General features: G+C 50.8%; 5 annotated features.

Moving 5' to 3' along the window:
• Positions 93-597: an enhancer, noted in NCBI's record as "H3K4me1 hESC enhancer chr2:233304500-233305004 (GRCh37/hg19 assembly coordinates)". NCBI's record gives its function as "activates a minimal SCP1, AML or CMV promoter by ChIP-STARR-seq in naive H9 embryonic stem cells {active_cell/tissue: H9 hESC(naive)}" and the evidence as "EXISTENCE:reporter gene assay evidence [ECO:0000049][PMID:30033119]".
• Positions 598-1,101: an enhancer, noted in NCBI's record as "H3K4me1 hESC enhancer chr2:233303996-233304499 (GRCh37/hg19 assembly coordinates)". NCBI's record gives its function as "activates a minimal SCP1, AML or CMV promoter by ChIP-STARR-seq in naive H9 embryonic stem cells {active_cell/tissue: H9 hESC(naive)}" and the evidence as "EXISTENCE:reporter gene assay evidence [ECO:0000049][PMID:30033119]".
• Positions 7,393-8,214: an enhancer, noted in NCBI's record as "H3K27ac-H3K4me1 hESC enhancer chr2:233296883-233297704 (GRCh37/hg19 assembly coordinates)". NCBI's record gives its function as "activates a minimal SCP1, AML or CMV promoter by ChIP-STARR-seq in naive H9 embryonic stem cells {active_cell/tissue: H9 hESC(naive)}" and the evidence as "EXISTENCE:reporter gene assay evidence [ECO:0000049][PMID:30033119]".
• Positions 15,961-16,728: an enhancer, noted in NCBI's record as "OCT4-NANOG-H3K27ac hESC enhancer chr2:233288369-233289136 (GRCh37/hg19 assembly coordinates)". NCBI's record gives its function as "activates a minimal SCP1, AML or CMV promoter by ChIP-STARR-seq in naive H9 embryonic stem cells {active_cell/tissue: H9 hESC(naive)}" and the evidence as "EXISTENCE:reporter gene assay evidence [ECO:0000049][PMID:30033119]".
• Positions 16,729-17,496: an enhancer, noted in NCBI's record as "OCT4-NANOG-H3K27ac hESC enhancer chr2:233287601-233288368 (GRCh37/hg19 assembly coordinates)". NCBI's record gives its function as "activates a minimal SCP1, AML or CMV promoter by ChIP-STARR-seq in naive and primed H9 embryonic stem cells {active_cell/tissue: H9 hESC(naive and primed)}" and the evidence as "EXISTENCE:reporter gene assay evidence [ECO:0000049][PMID:30033119]".

Here is a 19,237-nt window from a genome sequence, read left to right as displayed (position 1 = left end):
CTCTCCCTGGACCCCAGCACAGTCCCAGGAGTCACCCCTGCCCTCAACAGTGAACAAGTGCACTCTTGGTGACCTTGAACGTGAAGCCTGGTGAGGCTATGGAGGAGAGGCCCACCTTGCCAGGGCCCTTGGTGTGGCTGAGTCTCTGCTTCCCTTGCCGTCTCAGCCTCTCCCTCCCTCTAGGGGGCTGGGGGTCGGGACAGCGCCTGTGGGGCTCTGGCCCAGCCAGTTGGGCCACATCAAGCAGGGACCCAGATAAAGGTCAAGGGCACTGAGGAGGGAGCTGGCACTGCAGAGAGTCCACTTCCCAGGCACAGCCTTGGCCATGATGTTTGAGGACAGCTGCAGGGGCTGTCTGGTGCCCTCATGTCCTTCTGATGCTGCAGGTAGCAGATGGGGGTGGAGAGAAGAGGTGAGCTATGAGCAAGAGTGAATGAAGGTGGGGCTGGCCCCTGGCTGTGGTGGTGACGCCCTGGGATGGCTGGAAGGGAGGTCCCCAGTGGAGTCTGGGGACAGGAAGGTGCAGGCCAAGCCCAGCTGCCAGCAGCCAGAGTTGCACCGAGTTCAGTATTCGCCATTGCAAATGGGACCTGGCACCACGGGTCAGAGAACTGAGCTGGACGGTGCAGGGTGGGTGGGGTAGGGAAGGTGGGAGTCAGGGCTCTCATCTGCGGCCAGCACAGGCTCCACAGTCCCCCACCCTGTCAATTCCCTGGTGGGCCAGCAGGTGGCGCCCAGCCTCTTCCTCCCCAAGGTCCTGGGATGGGGAGGCTCCAGCTTAGAGCCTAGGCGCTCCTATGGGAACCCAGGGCCAGAGATGGAGGCTGTGACAGTGACCTGGTCAGCAGGGCCCTCTACTCTGACCTCCTCCCTCCCTCTCCTGGGGAGCAGTGCTAGGTGCACAGCCTAGGCAGCCAAACCTCCGAAACGCCCCAAGCTATCCTGGGTGGTCAGGCCGCGCCGCTCCACACTCTGGGCCACGGGAGCCCCGAAGGAATGGAGTGGGCACTGGGGCCGCTGGACGGGAGGGTGCCCTGCCCCCTGCCCTGGCTTCAGACCTTCCTCCTCTGATGTGGGCACCGGCCCTAGTGCCAACCCGCTCCTCCCAGCACCAGGGGCACAGGCATGAGATCACTGGGCCCTGCTGGGAATGGGGCGCTGGAGCTCAGGGACTGCCTGACAACTGCTCTCCGAGGGGCTGGGAATGGCTGCCAGCCAGCATCACCTTCCAGAACAGCAAGCCAAGGCCTCGGAGACGGGGGCCTCGGTCCCAGACCTGGCATCGACCAAGCTTCTGGAGCTTGTGCCACCAGAGTCCCACGACTCTGGAGGTCTGGGGTGGGGCTGTGGTGTGACAGTGGCTGCAGGGCCAGGACCCCAGCTCCTCAGCACTCACTCCCAGCACCCCTCCTCCCTGGGTCTGTGCCTCCCCGGGGCAGGAGGGGATGGGGAAGGATAGGGCAGGTGTGAGGCTCAGCGAGCCCCTCACACGCTGTGGCAGACAGCAGAGAAAGGCCACCAGCCCCCCGCACACGGTACACACTCCCCACAGCAAGGGTGACACTGGTAGAGACAGAGGTTCCCACAGTGCACAAACGTTCCTCTAAAGAAAAAGCAACAACATCAATATATGAAACGCAGGGCTCTTCATGCGTTTACGACAGGGCGTCCTTCACCCTGAAGGTGCCGGCGAGCATCAAGACTGCAGAGCCAGCCACTGGGTGCCGCATTCCTGCTGGCTCAGGTGGGACCTGTTTCTGTTGCATCTTAAAGGACGATGCTGGGAAAGGCTGCTCTCGCCCTGGCAGGGCTTAGAGGTGATGAGATGAGAAAGGGGTGAAGCCATCTGCGCTTCAGAGGAAGCCTGCCTTCCCTGATCACGGAGGAACCAGATCTGAATGTTTCTCTGCTCAACTGGGAGATTGGGACTCGATTTTGACATTCAGGGATCTGGGGCATCTGTGGCCAGGAAAGACCTGTCTGGGGGAGGGGTGGAGGGGCGTCCTTCACCTCTCATGGCCCTGCCATTGAGAGAGGGGCTTCTCCTCAGTGGCTCGCATGGAACACCAGCATCAACATCAATCCCATGAAACATGCGCTCTTCATGCGTTTATGATCGGGTCTCCTTTGCCTTTAAGGTTCCAGCAAGCATCGGGCCTGTGCAGAGGCAGCACTGGGTGCCGCGTTCCTGCTGTCTCAAGTGGGACCTGTTGCTGTCACATCTTAAAGGACGATGCTGGAACGCCAGCCCTGCCACTCTCACTGCGTGATTTCAAACTTTTTTTTTTTTTAATTTTGAGACAAGGTCTTGCTCTGTTGCCCAGGTTGGAGTGCAGTGGCATGACCTCGGGTCACTGTAGCCTCCACCTCCCTGGTGGCCCAAGTGATCCTGATCTTCCCATCTCAGCATCCAAGTAGCTGGGACCACAGGCGCGCACCACCTTGCCCAGCTAATTTTGTCTATAGAGAGGAGGTCTCACTATGTTGCCCAGGCTGGTCTCCAACTCTTGGGCTGAAGCGATCCTCCTGCCTCTGCCTCCCAAAGTGCTGGGATTACAGGCATGAGAGACCATGCCTTGCCAGATAAATTAGTTAAGCTTTCAGAATCTCCATTTCTTTCAAAGCCTGTAAAATAGGGAAGCAATGTGCCAGTGCCTGGCCTTGAAAAAAAAATAAGACATCATTGTAACACGTCCTATGTTGTGACTGGCATGGTTGCCCCAACTCTAGGAATTGGGCTAAACACGCAGCTACATTTCTAGAAGCTTCTCCTGGCCTCCCTCTGACAAGGGCACCAGTCTTGTCCCAGCCTCCGTCTCTTTTACCAGGTGGCCTCCCTAGTCATGCTCTGCTCTGCGGCCTTCACGCCAAAGCTGGTCCCATCCCTCTGCTGGAAGGGCCCTCTGCGGCTCCCCCGTCATGGGCTCAGTCCTACCTCCAGGGAATGAGGTTCTGCGTCCAGCTCCCCTCCCCTTCCACACGCCCAGCAGTGAGCATCATCGTCCTTCGCCCTCCCTCCACCCATCTCCTGCCACCTGCTTCTTGACATCCCATTCAGAGCCCATCCCAGCACTCAGCCGCCATGTCTGTGACAGCCTCTTTGAACACAGGGGCCATTTCCTTCCATGCCGTGTCGTAGACTCCGGTCCCACTCTAGATGCCAAGTGCATCTGCACAGAATGAAGGACTCTAAGATGGGGCATGCCAGGCTCCAATTCAGGAGCTGAGAAGGCTGGGTCCCTGCCCCAGTGCCCTGTTCTGCTGGGCACACAGCTCTGGGCTGCGTGTTTCTGATGATGATGCTTGCTGCTGGGCGTGTGGATACTGTCAAGCTCCGCCTGAGGGAGCTCATTCCCAAGCAGGCCAGAGGCAGCCAGGGCCCTGTCCTCTCTCCTCCCTGCTCCCCACGGGTGGACCGAGCACCACCCTTGGGCTCAGACAAGACGGTGGCGACATCCCAGCATGGCATCCCTCCTCCTTCAGAGCTAGGCTTTGCTAGTGTCCTTGTGTCCTCACTCTCTTTTGCATCCTCAAGGCTCCCCTAAGTGGCTGCGGTCACCAAACTGTGCCCTTGGAGCAGCACCGGGAGAAGGAGAACAGGCAGCCCCTGCCCCTGCAGCTGCCCCGCGTGGTGCCACCCACATGCTCGTCCCTTTCCAGGCCCCTGCAGCCCAGGCTGTTCCATCTCTTTCTGTGTGGGTCAAAGCCTAAGGTGTAAAAAATAAAAAAATAAATAAAAAATAAAAGACTGGCCACACACAGTCTCCCCACCCCCAGGCCGCGGTCTGCACTGCTGCACCAGAGGGCCTTGGCCCTAACTTCCTGGAGCCTCAACAGCAGAGGTGCATTCCTGAGTGCCAGACTAATTCCAAGAGATGGTGAGAAAGGACTGTTTTATAGGAAAGGGGTGAGATAGCAAAGTCACGGAGGCAAAACAAAACAAAAACAAACAAACAAAACAGGCTGGGCACAGTGGCTCACACCTATAATCCCAGCACTTTGGGAGGCCCAGGTGGGTGGGTCACCTGAGGTCAGGAGTATCGAGACCAGCCTGGCCAACATGGTGAAACTCCCGTCTCTACTAAAAATACAAAAATTAGCTGGGCATGGTGGTGGGCGCCTATAATCCCAGCTAGTTGGGAGGCTGAGGCGAGAGAATTGCTTGAACCCGGGAGGTGGAGGCTGCGGTGAGCCGAGATTGCACCATCACACTCCAGCCTGGGCAACAAGAGCGAAACTCCCTCTCAAAAAAACAAACAAATAAAGAAAAGCATCAGGTTAGTTTGGAAAATAAGAAGTCAAGGGCAGACTGTGTCAAGGGGAGACTGAAGGGCTGCGCCAGGAGGGGTACAGGGACAGCCTGGTGCCTGTCACACTCTACAACCGGCACCTTTTCTGGGAGCTGGGGAAGGCTGTTGGAACAAGGGAAGGACTTTGCACGGGGACCTTAAGCAGGACACAGTGAGGGACGGAGGCTGGACCAGAGGCAGGGCATGGCTGGGATGAAAGCTGAGCAGCCCAAGGCTCCCAAGAAGCAGCCCCAGGAAGCAAAAAAGAGCAGGGTAATCCCAGCACTTGGGAGGCCAAGGCGGGCAGACCACCTGAGGTCAGGAGTTCGAGACCAGCCTGGCCAACATGGTGAAACCCTGTCTCTACTAAAAATACAAAAATTAGCTAGGCATGGTGGCGGGTGCCTGTAATCCCAGCTACTCGGGAGGCTGAGGTAAGAGAATCACTTGAACCTGGAAGCCAGAGCTTGCAGTGAGCCAGGATTGTGCCACTGCAGTCCAGCCTGGGTGGCAGAGTGATACTTCATTTCAAAAAAGAAAAGAAAGAGCAAGGCTGGAGACTGGGGGCCACAAGGGCGCCCTCTTCCCAACTGGGCACAGCGGGGCAGGAGCTGATAAGCTCCCAGGCAGAGGCAGTAGGAAGTGGCCGAGAAGCAGCTCTGGGACTTCAGAGGAGCCTGCGGGTTGTCCCCAGTGTGAGAGCTGCCAAGAAGAGCAGGGGCTTGCACAGGGCCCTTGGATTTGGCCAGAAGGAGTAAGTCACAGTGGCAGTGCGGCTGGAGAGGCTGGTTCAGAAACCCAAGAGGACGGAGGGAGGGAGACTGGCAGGTGTGGACAGTTCCCCACCAGGTTGCTGCTGATGGGGCCGGAGTTGGCCTGGGGGAGATGCGGGGTGTCTGTCTGCTTCCTGCTTGCTGTCTGAAGCATCCCAAAGGCCGGAATGTATCTGCAGAGGAGCTCACAGAGGGAAAGACCCCAGGAGAGCAGCCAGCTTATGGGACAGCCCGCAGGGCCCAGGGCAGGAGGAAGGAGCTCAGGGTGGAAGCCTGAGGTCCTGTCCTGGGGAGGGCAACTGGCCAGCTCCCAGGACGGAGCACCGCTGTGGTGTTGGGGGAGATGAGGAGGCCTGTCTGGGTGGGTCCTGAGGCCAGCCCCTGCTCAGTGTCCACAGCTCTGTCCTGACCATGGTCCCTGCAGAAAGGGTGGGTGCAGTCAGATGCCGCTTCCTTACAGCATCCTGGAGGCACTGAGGAGTGTCGCCCAAGCCATGTGACAGTGGCCAAGAGATGAAGGACCTTGCCCAGATCAGACAGTCAGTCAGGGGCACAGAGGGCTGGACCCCACCTCCCTGGGCCCCTTGACCAGCGCCCTGCGGGCCCAGGTCAGACACTTGCCCTGACAGCCCTAGCATGGAGGAAACAGGCTGGAGGCCAGACAGGTGACCCTGGAGCTCAGGTCAGAGGACTGCACCCCTGGATCTATCTTTTCCAGTCTACTGGGCACAGCAGAGAGGAGAAAGCAGAGAGCATGGCCACCCCACAAAGTGGGGTTCAGGTTCCATCAGCTCAGCTCTGGCCTGGCCACACCCCAGCTGCCTCCTGTCCCCTCCCTGAGGACTCCATGGCTCCAGAGGAGTCGAGGGAGACTGGGCCGGCAGTGGGTCTCTCCTCAGGCCCAGGCACGTTGCTAAGGCAGGGCCCAATCTCCTGACCTAGACTGCTCGGGCCTGGCCCTCAGACTCTCGGCTCCTCTGCACTTGGCCTCTCAACCCTGCCTGGCAAGGAGGACGTGTCTCCAAGGCTGTCCTGTTTCAGATCCACGCACCTGCTGAAGTGCTGAGAAACTCACCTCACCCCTTCCCCACACAGGACACTCAGAGAGTGGCTTTGGAAATGAGCGGGAGCCGGGGCAGAGGAGCAGGACCAGTGCCCAAAGCTGAAAATGTGTCCATTTTCAAAGGCCAAAGGCAAATGTGGGACAGAAACAGCCTCTTCTGCCCTCAGCCACCAGGGCCCTTGTCACGCTCTGTGGGAGGCTCCTGCTAATGGAATGAGGCCACTCACAGAGCTTGTTCAATTAGCTCTTGCTGAAAACTGCTAACGTGGCTTTGATAAGAATTGCTCCCAGCCAATTTCAGCCTCATTTCTTCTGCAGACCAAATTTTCCACACTTGAGCACATGCTCCCTGTAAGCTCCAGAGCCCTGGGCTCTGCCGAGGCCATGAAGGCAGCTGCTGGGCCTGTCTCAGAAGCTGTGTACCCAACCATGGCCCGTTCTCCATGGCCGGGCAGCCCATGGGGTGCAGGTGACGGCCACCTTTACGTAGAACCTGCTGTGTTCTTAGCAGCTGGAAATTGAGTGTAGTGTGGTGGGAACCGCAGGGCCCCGGGAGGCAGGGGTCTACGGAGCACTGAATTGCAGGCTGCTGGGGAGGGAAAGTGGAAGAGATCTTGGTGGCAGCTCTGTTCCAGGCCAGGCCGGGTGGGGCTGGGTGCCTGGGAGCTGGAAAGTGGAGGCCTGGAGAAAGGGAGCCGCAGGCAGAGCACCTTGCCTGGGTCGGGGAGGGGGATGGGGAGAAAGTGCAGCTGCTTGACTGATGGACCCCCACCCACAGCTGGCCATGCACCCTGCTGCCAGTCTCCAGCAGAGGGTGCCGTGGCCTCTGGGTGGCCCACCAGTCACAGCTCGTGCCTCTCGCTGACCCCTCTCCTCCTGGGCACACTGCAACCTCCTGAATGCACTGGACGTTTCCATGAAACCACAGGGAAATGAATGGGGCCCAGTTCACAGGCATGGAAAAGCCCAGAGGAGAAGGCCTCTGGAGCCAAACATCACATGCTGCAGGGGAGGCCAGAGCCAGGTTTCCTAGGCTGGGAGGCTCAGTCCACAGCAGGGCCTTGTCACTACCATCATCCTGCTCCTGACTGCCGAGGGCGCCTCCTCCCCTCTGCCAGGATCACAGCAGCTGCAGAGCCCAGGGTCACCCATCTGAACCTGGCTCTCCACCTGCCCGGCCACCCCCCAGGGACAGAGCCTTTCCCCTGGTCTGCTCCCTGCCCCTAGGCCCTGAGGCTGGTCACAGGCACAGGCGCACACGCATGGGCCCCTGCAGCCACCGCCTGGCTGGGCTGGGACACTGTTGCCACCTTAGAAGCCTTGCTTCCAGGCCCCCACTTTGCCTCTGCCTCTGTCCCGCTGCAGTTGGATGAGGGCAGAAGCAGCACTCAGGCCTGCGGCACGGCCTCCCTGATAAGGCTGCCCCCTCCTGGTTGCCTCGGGCTCAGGCCCTTTCCTGTCTGAGTCGCCCAGGGCTGAGCAGGGTTGCTTTTCCTGCTCTTGGTTTCCCGTCACTGCTGAAGGCGCCCTGTGCAGCCTCTCCTTTGCTGACGCTCCTCCCACCCCACAGAGACGCACTGGGCTCCTGGGTCAGGAGGGCAGGGCAGAGTGGGCCACGGGCCATGGCAGCAGTGGGATGGGGAAGGCCCCTGCCCCTCAGATGCCTTGGCCCACGTGACATCATGGCCCCTGGGTGCTGGGCCTCAGGTGAGCCTCTTTCTAGACTGTTCCAAGAGGGAGTTTTTGTGCTGAGCTCGGAGCTGGGCAATGAATCCAGGCATCCGCCATGTTTTCCCTGGTGAGCTCCATACAGTCGGAGAAACCTCAAGAAGTCCCCAGGTCAGTCCCTCGCCCAGGCCTGAGTGCGGCCCGGGGTCCTTAGCAGGCTGGCGCTCTGCTGGTCCTTGGCTGTCACACTGAAGGCTCCCTGGCTTGTGCAGGCTCTCACTGGCCTGTTCCTGGCCTCAGCCCTGCTCCCTTACCCGGCAGGAGGAGATCGGTGCCTCTGTTCTTCAGGGACCCCTTGGGGCCTCCTCATGGGTGACAGGCACCTAGACCTTTAAGAACCCCTGGATTCCCATGCTGCCCCCTCTGCTCCCAACACCCAAGCCCACCTTCTCCACTCAGCTCCCCGTGGGGCTGTACAGGCTAAGTTCAGCCCAGTCCTAGGCATCCTCCAGGTACTGACTCACGGAGCTCCACAGCAGCGTCATGCAGTAGGGGCTATAATCACCCCCTTTACAGATGGGCAAACTGAGGCACAGTGAGGTCCCCTTGAGGAGCGAGCCCTGTGTGTTTTGGGTGTGCACATGTGTGTATACACATGTATATGCATGTGTGTGTGCATATCTGTGTGCATGTGTGCATATCTGTGTGCATGTGTGCATGCACGTGTGTGTATGCATGTGTGTGTGCATGTGTATATGCATCTGTTTGTGTGTATGCACAGGGGGCGGGGGCTGAGGCCCTGCTCTGTGCCAGACTTGCTGCCACTTGGGATTTTCACAGCATGGCCTTATACAAACCCTGCAACAGCCCTAAGAGGTTGGTTGGTCCTGTTATTATTCCCATGTTACAGATGAGAAAACTGAGGCCCAGAGACAAGAAGGGCTCCAGCAGGGTCACTCAGCAGGTGTTGGGGGAGAGGACTCACTCCCTGCTCTGGGATTCCACTGGCCTCCATGGGGCCCTGTTCCCAGGTGTCCCAGTGGCCCCAAACACTCCATGAGCCTTGATCCTGCAGTCCCTGTCCATGTCACTGTCTCCTAGCCCTGCCCTGTGGGGTTCCCTCTCTTTAGGAACAAAGCGGGTCCCCTTTTATTTTTTTTTGAGACCGTGTTTCACTCTTTGTTGCCCAGGCTGGAGGGCAGTGGCACGATCTCGGCTCACTGCAACCTCTGCCTCCTGGGTTCAAGCAATTCTCCTTTCTCAGCCTCCCGAGTAGCTGGGATTACAAGCGCCCGCCACCACGCCCGGCTAATTTTTTGTATTTTTAGTAGAGACGGGGTTTCACTGTGTTAGCCAGGCTGGTCTCGATCTCCTGACCGCAGGTGATCCACCCACCTTGGCCTCCCAAAGGCGGGTCCCATTTTTAAGAATTCCACAGAAGGCTGGGCGCAGTGGCTCACGCCTGTAATCCCAGCACTTTGGGATTACAGACCTTGTCTGAAAAAAAACAAAACAAAACAGGAATCTCAGATTATCAAACCTCTTGAGGCTAGGAAGCCAAACCAAGACAGACTTTAGATTTTTTTCTGCAGTCTGAAGTTTCCTGGGCCTGCCAGGAAGTGACAATTTTTAGTTGCTCACTGTAAGGCTGGGAACCCCAGAAGCCAGGCATTCTATGCATATTCACAAATATATTGCAATCAAAGCTTTGGTAATATAGCCAATGTTTCCAATTGTATCCTATATAAAAAGAGAGCAAATTCTTAAACTTCAAATAACCATGTTGTCATAAGAATACTCATGAATAGTGTCTGAATTTTGGAGGGATCCACTCTTGCCTGGATGACAGACCAAGACCCTGTCTCAGGAAAAAAAAAAAAAAAATGAAAGCTTCAGTTTAGATGGCTGTTAAACACAGAAGTAAAAATTAATGCTTCTTGTGGATTTACTAAAAGCAGATTTAGACTGGGCGCGGTGGCTCCTACCTGTAATCCCAGCACTGTGGGAGACTGAGGCAGGCAGATCACCTGAGCTCAGGAGTTCGAGACCAGCCTGGCCAACATGGTGAAACCCCATCTCCACCAAAAACACAAAAATTAGCTGCGTGTGGTGGCACGTGCCTGTAATCCCAGCTACCCGAGGCTGAGGCAGGAGAATCACTGGAACCGGGAGGCAGAGTTTGCAGTGAGCTGAGATTGCGCCACTGCACTCCAGCCTGGGCAACAGAGCAAGACTCTGTCTCAAAAATAAATAAATAAAAATAAAAGCAGATCTATATTTCAAGGATATCTTGTGGTACTAACATAGGGGACCAAATTTTTAGTTTTTAAATCAGCGTAGGTTTGTTTTGTTTGTTTTTTACTTCTCCTAGAGCCTTCAGATGAGAATACCAGTGTAGTTTTAATATGAAAGCTCCATCTTTAGAAAGACTCGTGAATAATTTCCTTCTAATTTTAGCCAACTTGATCACATACAAAAATTCCTTTCCCAAATTCATCCTTCCCAAAAAAATGGGAAGACATTATATGTGTCTCTGCTAGATGTTTCAAGGTCATAAAACTATAAACCCAACCTAAAAACAGTAATCTTTGTTCATGTAGTTCTTTGATAAATAAAACTAGTTGAGTATTGCTGGTTTATTGAAAGCAGCTCTGTTTTATACATATACATACATATATACATAGTAATGAACCAAATACCTTTTAGTTCATGTGATTTAACTACATCTCTGATAAATAAGCTGGTTTTAAATTGGTTGATAAAATAGAAATACCTCAAGCATTTCCTTTTTTTTTTTTTTTTTTTGAGACAGAGTCTCTCTCTGTTGCCCAGGCTGGAGTGCAGTGGCACGATCTGGGCTCACCGCACACACCTTTCATGACTTAGCACTTCTATGACATGCTTAGGCCTCTGCTTTAACCTAAACTTCCCCTTTCTTAGCTAACAAGTCATTTTACTTTAGGACACAAAAACTTACAAGATCCTTTCTCATTCCAAATTATTCTTTTTTCTTTTAACTGTACTTATCAAAAATATATCTTCATACCTTTCTTCACATTTCTGTCCTACTTACGGGTTCCTTTCTATCCTGTTTTTATTTCTTTCATAAATCCATATTTTGGATTTATGAAAACACATTTTGGCCAGGTGGAGTGGATCACACCTGCAATCTCAACACTTTGGGAGGTGACCACTTGAGCCTAGAAATTCGAGACCAGGCTGGGCAGCGTAGCAGGATCCTATTTCTATTTTTTTTTTAATTAAAAAAAAGTTAAAATAATTTTTAAATATACAAAAAACTCAAATAAAACAAAAACATGTTTTTACACATTTTAAATAGTTTTTCTCATCAAACATACATATTCTGTACACTTTGTCTACAGAATTGTATAAATTAATTAGAATTTTTAATTCTTAGCAACCTTAATTTGTAGTGAAAACCTAGGAAGCAAAAAATGTTTAAATGACTGTCACATATTAGTATTTTACAGATGGGAACCATTTATAATTTTAGAAACATGTTTCCCCATTGCATAATTTTTATGTGTATTAACCCCTATAAATTTGGTAGTTCCATAAAACTGAAGAAGCCAATGGTGGCTCACGCCTGTAATCCCAGCACTTTGGGAGGCCGAGGCAGGTGGATCACGAGGTCAGGAGATTGAGACCATCCTGACTAACATGGTGAAACCCTGTTTCTACTAAAAATACAAAAAATTAGCCGGGTGTGGTGACGGGCACCTGTAGTCCCAGCTACTCCGGAGACTGAGGCAGGAGAATGGCGCGAACCCGGGAGGCAGAGCTTGCAGTGAGCCAAGATCGCGCCACTGCACTCCAGCCTGGGCGACAGAGCAAGACTTGGTCTCAGAAAAAAAAAAAAAAGAAGAAGCCAAAAACAAACATATTTGTGTTCAGCAATTTATGTTTTTGTGTTTTCTCTTACTTGGAAATGACCAATATATTTAATGAGTATCTGTCAGTTAAGGTAGCATAACATGACTTTAAGATTTCAAAGTCTGGCCAGGCACAGTGGCTCATGCCTGTAATCCCAGCACTTTGGGAGGCTGAGGTGGAGGACTGCTTGAGACCAGGAGTTCGAGAGCAGCCTGGCCAACATGGTGAAACCCCGTCTCTACCAATAATACAAAAAGTAGCTGCGTGTGGTGGCGCATGCCTGTAATCCCAGCTACTCAAGAGGCTGAGGCATGAGAATCATTTGAACGCGGGAGGTGGAGATTGCAGTGAGCCGAGATCACACCACTGCACTCCAGCCTGGGCGACAGAGGAGACTCTGTCTCAAAAAAAAAGAAAAAAAGATTTCAAATTCTATGAAAAGCTCATTTATAGACATTCATCCTATTTACATTTACCTAATTTATATTTTTAACAATTATACCTCCACTAATTATGAATACTGAGATATTACACAAAGCTAGTACTCATTTCCGGGTATTTTCTTGTTCACTATTTTCATAGCCTGTGACTCTCAGGTGTTCACTTAAGAAGCTTAAAGTTAAATACATGGATATTTTGCCAGTAACTCCTAAGACAGAGCTGTTTACATTAAACCAGCAATACTAAATTAGTTTTATTTATCAAAGAACTACACAAACAAAGATCACTGTTTTTAGGTTGGGTTTAAAGTTTTTCTATGACCTTAGGCCAGGCGCAGTGGCTCACGCCTGTAATCTGAGCACTTTGGGAGGCCGAGGTGGGCAGATCACTTGAGGTCAGGAGTTCGAGACCGGCCTGGCTAACATGGTGAAACCCCGTCGCTAATAAAAATGCAAAAATTAGCAGGGCATGATGGCACATGTCTGTAATCCCAGCTACTCAGGACGCTGAGGCAGGAAAATCACTTGAACCCTGGAGGTGGAGGTTGCAGTGAGCTGAGATTACACCACTGCACTCCAGCCTGGGTGACAGAGTGAGACTCCGTCTCACAAAAAATAAAAAATAAAATACAGTTTTAGGACCTTGAAGCATCTAGCAGAGACACGTATGATCCTAACTGACCCACAAACCGAGGGGAAAATGTACACTGCAAATGCTAAAGATGGACGTGCGTGGTGGCTCACGCCTGTAATCCCAGCACTCTGGGAGGCCGAGGCGGGTGGATCACTTGAGGCCAGGCATTTGATTAAATTAATTTTAATTTTAATTTTAATGTTTTTTGTCTTGAGGCCAGAAGTTTGAGACCAGCCTGGCCAACATGGCAAAACCCATTCTTTACTAAAAATACAAAAAAAATTAGCTAGGAGTGGTGATGAGCACCTATAGTACCATCTACTCAGGAGGTTGAGGCATGAGAACCACCTGAACCTGGGAGGTGGAGGTTGCAGTGAGCTGAGATTGCACCACTGCACTCCAGCCTGGGTGATAGAGAGAGGCTCTGAGAGAGAAAAAAAAAAAAAAAAAAAAAAAAAAAAAAAAAAAAAAGAAGGAAGGAAGGGAGGGAGGGAGGGAGGAAGAGAGAGGGAAGAAATGAAGAAAGAAAAGAAAATGCTAAAGATATTTCTATTTTTATTTTATCAACAAATTTAAAACCAGCTTATTTATCAAAGATGTAGTTAAATCGCATGAACTAAAAGGTATTTGGGTTAATTACTATGTTATATATGTATGTATATGTAATATGTATACATGTATTTATATATGTATGTATCTACACAGGTGTGTGTGCATATATATATATATATATATATATATATATATTTTTTTTTTTTTTTTTTTTTTTGAGATGGGGTCTCACTCTGTCACCCGGGCTGGAGTGCAGTGGTACAATCACAGCCCATGGAAGCTTCTACTTTCCAAGTTAAAGTGATTCTCCTGCCTCAGCCTCCCTAGTAGCTGGGACTACAGGCACACACCACCATGCCTGGCTAATTCTTGTATTTTTTTTATAGAGATGGGGTTTTGCCATGTTGCCCAGGCTTATCTCGAACTCCAGCTACTGGGCTCAAGCAGTCCACCGACCTCAGCCTCCCCAAGTGGTGGGACTAAAGATGTTTGACACCGCACCCAGCCTATATACATATTTTTTTTAGAGATGGGGTCTTGCTATGTCACTCAGGCTGTCCTTGAACTCCTGGGCTCAAGTAATCCTTCTGCCTTAGCCCCCTGAGTAGCTGGGAATACAGGCATGCTCCACCATGCCCTGCTCACTATATATTTTAACAAGTTTAATTAATCTAAGTTAAACTGAATAGAATTCCTTAAGGAATTTCTGGCCTATTGTGCCAGATTTCAAATTGGAGACATAACATACAACATGCAAAAACATACATAAACATAGATACACACAAATAAGACCTTATGGCTTTAATTTGAGCGTTTCGGTCATGAGACAGCAAAACATACTAATACAGACTCACAGGTTTATAAGACACAGTAGGATCCAAATGAGATTTCTGAGAAAATGGGAGAGGTCTCAAAGCTAAACTTTAAGATTTGCATTTGTCTTTATGAGCAATCTTATGAGGGCTGTGAACCAAAATTTTGGGTAAAGCAGTTTGGTTTTCTTTTTTGTTTGTCTTTAATTTTTATTTCTTCGATCGTACCTTTTCCCTTTTTCAGTTTCAAATGAGTTTAGGGGTTAAATATTAAATGTTTATATTTTAACTAGGACTGCCTGGATTTTATTAGAGAAAGAAAATCACCAAGCAGTTTTGAAGTCCATAACTAATTGCTTTTGTTTGCCACTCTTATTTGCTTGACAGTTCCACGCAGGTAGGGAAGCATTTTAGCAGGTTTTTTTTTTTTAGTTCTTCTGGCCCTGTGTAGCAGACAAAGCAATTTTTATGCTGGGCAGAAATCCTTTTTATTATTGCTCTGAGCTCACAATTTTGACCTCTTTGATCTGAGAGCCTAATTTTTATAAACATTTCTCTCATTCTATTCTTTCTAATAGCAGTCCTTCCATGGACTGGTCCATCACCCAAAGCAACTGTTAGACAGGTAAACCTAAATTTACATTTCCAAAAGGCGTCTAGGTTGTGGGTTGGCCATGGAGCTGTTGTAATTTGTAGAACCATTAATTTGAAAACCTTTTAAGACCTCTTCCTTATTGGTTTTTATCTTGGCTGGAATGTGATATTGTGGGTTTATCTTAATACCAGCAGAAATGTCAGCAGATTTCAAGTAGGCAGAAAAAAGAGAGAGAGAAGTAGAGAACTTAGAAGGCTCTCCATTTAACTCTGTAGTTGGCAATTTTAAAATTCAGTATAAGGAAAAAACAAACTTGGGGAGTTCAAATGATTCCTATCGTGCCACTGATTTTAAAATGTACATGAGGAAAAGCCATGTAGCTGGCTGTTAATGTTTGAGAATGCCATTCCCTTTCTTATTAATCTCGAGAGCAAAGAAAATCCTATAAATCCTGGAGTTTGCACAAGTATTTAGAGGTAGTGATGCCCTAGTTTCTTTTAATTGGCTATCTCATACCCATCTTTTTAAATTGTTTTGTTGTTGTCGTTGTTGAGACAGGGTCTCATTCTGTCAACCAGGCTGGAGTGCAGTGGTGTGATCACAGCTCAATATGACCTCCACCTCTCAGATTCAAGCAATTCTTATGCCTCAGCCTCCTGAGCTCAAGCAATGCCCCCTACCTCGGCCTCCCTAGTAGCTGGGCCTACAGGCATGGACCAACATGACTGGCTAATCTTTGTATTTTTTGTAGAGACAGGGTTTTGTAATGTTGCCCAGGCTGGTCTTGAACTCCTGAGCTCAAGCCATCCTCCCACCTTGGCCTTCCAAAGTGCTGGGATTATAGGCGGGAGCCATTGTGCCAGGCCTGCACTCGACATTTATTTATTTATTTATTTTTAAATGTTTCCTATGGTACCAAATCATTTATGTTTATTTTTGCTATCAGATGATCAGAAGATGTTCACAAGCATGAAAAAAAATGAACCAAATCATTTACAGACGTGGGAAACCAAACCAAAATCAGAGTGCTCACAAAATTTCAACCAAGGTGTGCACATCAAACAAAATATTCAGCCAGGCATGCAGAAACAAAAGTGAATTCACCAGAAAAGTCTTGCCGCCTAGACAGAAAATAAATTCTGTAGAAACCAGAGCCCTCAAACCAGAAGGGCACTTCTGTTTATACCAGAAAGTGCTTGCTAAAAGCAAAGAAGCAAATAAAAAAACAAAACTGGCTGGGCACAGTGGCTCACCCATGTAATCCCATCACTTTGGGAGGCGAGGTGGGCAGATCACTTGAGGTCAAGAGTTCAAGATCAGCCTGGCCAACGTGGTGCAATCCAGTCTCTACCAGAATACAAAAATTAGCCGGACATGGTGGTGCACGCTTGTAGTCTCAGCTACTAGGGAGGCTGAGGCACAAGAATCGCTTGAACCTGGGAGGAAGAGGTTGCAGTGAGCCGTGATCCTGCCAAGCACTCCAGCCTGGGCAACAGAGCAGGACTCTGTTGGGTGACCGAGCAAGACTGCCTCACACACACACACCCCAACCAAAAACAAAACTCCAACCTCTATACTCCCAAGAAGGATGCAAGGTCCTTTGTTTAAGGGAGGCTTATAACCAAAAAAGATCCAGGATAAAGTAAAAAGGAACTGACTAAAGGGAGGGAGTCTGAGTATTCGAGGAGATTCACCAGAACATGAAGGGGTGGGTTGCCCCTCCACACCTGTGGGTGTTTCTCGTTAGGTGGAACGAGAGACTTGGAAAAGAAAGAGACACAAAGTATAGAGAAAGACAAAAGGGGGCCCAGGGAACCGGCGTTCAGCATATGGAGGATCCCACCGGCCTCTGAGTTCCCTTAGTATTTATTGATCATTATTGGGTGTTTCTTGGAGAGGGGGATGTGGCAGGGTCATAGGATAATAGTGGAGAGAAGGTCAGCAGGTAAACACGTGAACAAAGGTCTCTGCATCATAAACAAGGTAAAGAATTAAGTGCTGTGCTTTTGTTGTGCATATACATAAACATCTCAATGCCTTAAGGAGCAGTATTGCTGCCAGCATGTCCCACCTACAGCCCTAAGGCGGTTTTCCCCTATCTCAGTAGATGGATATACAATCGGCTTTACACTGAGACATTCCATCGCCCAGGGACGAGCAGGAGACAGAAGCCTTCCTCTTACCTCAACTGCAAAGAGGCGTTCCTTCCTCTTTTACTAATCCTCCTCAGCACAGACCCTTTACAGGTGTCGGGCTGGGGGACGGTCAGGTCTTTCCCTTCCCATGAGGCCATATTTCAGACTATCACATGGGGAGAAACCTTGGACAATACCTGGCTTTCCTAGGCAGTGGTCCCTGCAGTCTTCCGCATGTGTCTCTGGGTACTTGAGATTAGGGAGTGGCTTGAGATTAGGGAGTGGTGATGACTCTTAACAAGCATGCTGCCTTCAAGCATTTGTTTAACAAAGCACATCCTGCACAGCCCTTAATCCATTTAACCCTGAGGTGACACAGCACGTGTTTCAGGGAGCACAGGGTTGGGGGTAGGGTTACAGATTAACAGCATCTCAAGGCAGAAGAATTTTTCTTAGTACAGAACAAAATGGAGTCTCCTATGGCTACTTCTTTCTACGCAGACACAGTAACAATCTGATCTCTCTTTCTTTTCCCCACAAGAACAGAAAAGCAACTCCTGGAAAGGCAGTCTGCAGAGGGCTCAGTCAATGCAGTGTTAGATTCCAGGAGACACTGATTCATCCAAGATGAGTTCACTTCAGTCCCACTTCTGACACCACTATGTGACATTGCATAACAGATACAGGAAGACCCTAAAATAAAATGAACTTTCTTTGGAAATAGGTACTGCAATGGGAATAAGCAGGCCAGAGGAAACTATGTGTGAATTTAGAAAGGTGAAGGAAGACAAAGGTTTTTAAAGAAAAAAGGAGGAGGATCACAGGATTGTTTTGAGATATTCATCCTTGGCTACAAGGATCAAGGATATGAGTGGCACCAGTTTGAGGATGGACAGGCAGGTGCTGGGCAGATGTCCTTGCAGAAGTATTTTTTGGTGAAAGGTTGTGAAGGCCATTATGCAAGCTGGTTGTTTGCAGTCTTCTGTGATAGTTCTTGATATCAGGTTTTGTGCATGATAAATCCCCTTCATGTTCCTGGCTTTACTTCTCAGGATTTTTAACAAAAGGAACTCTGTTTTGATTCTGACGAGGTGCATAGGCTGGATGACTGGGATCTGTCGTTAGTCAGGGGGTAGGCAGCGAGTCAGATTCTGAAGCCCTCACGGTCTGTGCCTGGTCTGTGCCCGGCACCCCCTCGGGCCTTCTCTCTCCAAGGCAGCTCTGGCTACTCTACCCACCCGCTCACCCTCACATCAGGTATCCAGCTGCGTCACTCAGGGCTTCACTGGGTGTCGCTGGGCACTGCTGTGGTCTGCCATGCTCTTGCATATGAGTCATGGGGTCACCTGGGCAATCAGGGTGTATTAGTCCGTTCTCACCCTCCTATGAAGAAATACCTGAGACTGGGTAAATTATAAAGAAAAGAGGTTTAATTGACTCACATTTCCTCATAGCTGGGGAGCCCTCAGGAAACTGACAATCATGGTGGAAAGCACCTTCTCGCATGGCGACAGGAGAGAGAATGCGCGCAAACGGGAAATGTCAGACGCTTATAAAACCATCAGATCTGGCGAGACTCACTCATTCGCACAAGAACAGCACGTGCGGAACCAGCCCCATGATTCAATTACCTCCACCTGGTCTCGCCCTTGACACGTGGGGATTATGGGGATTACAATTCGAGGTGAGATTTGGGTGGGAATACAGAGCCAAACCATATCACAGGGGTAGGGGAAGACCCCACAGTGAGGGAACTGGAGCCTGGACCACGGACATCACCCACTCACCCACAGCCTCAGCTTCCCTTTTGGGGAAACTGCAGAGGAGCCAAGGAGCTGGGCCTCAGACCCTTCTTTATTGACAGTCTGTGCAGGGTGACCAGGACTGTGTGGTCAGAGGCTAAACCCACGTCACCTCCTATAGGCAGTGATTGCTGTTCTCTGGGACAACCGCCTATTGGGACCATGGGGGCCACACTCACAGCCCCAGGCCTGCTTCTGGCAGGGCTCTGCGTTGCTCTCCGTGGATCAGAGGCTGGGGGAAGGGGGCGAGACAACCAGAAGCCCAGACACCCCGGGGAGAGCTGATCCCGGACAGGGGTTCCGAGGAGGTAAAGGAAGCTCCCTGGTGAAGGTGAGCTCTGCGCAGGCGCTGTGCGGGCAGCCCAGGCACTCCGTCAGCGCCCTCTCAATCCTTAGGAGGAGTCCTCCCTGGGTGGTGCTCCAGGGCTGTGGGCTGGACCATGACGGCCCCCAGCTGCGTAGCTCCAGCTCCTTTCCAACCGGTTGGTGGGCGGTTCCGAGTGGGGACACGGGATCGGAGGGGACTCCTGCCGGGTGTACCCGCTACCCTCACTAGTCCCGGGATGCGACTGGATCCGGA

The sequence above is a fragment of the Homo sapiens genome, chromosome 2 (assembly GCF_000001405.40).
Source record: "Homo sapiens chromosome 2, GRCh38.p14 Primary Assembly".
Classification (NCBI taxonomy): domain Eukaryota; kingdom Metazoa; phylum Chordata; class Mammalia; order Primates; family Hominidae; genus Homo; species Homo sapiens.
This window is presented reverse-complemented; position numbering and strand designations above follow the sequence as displayed.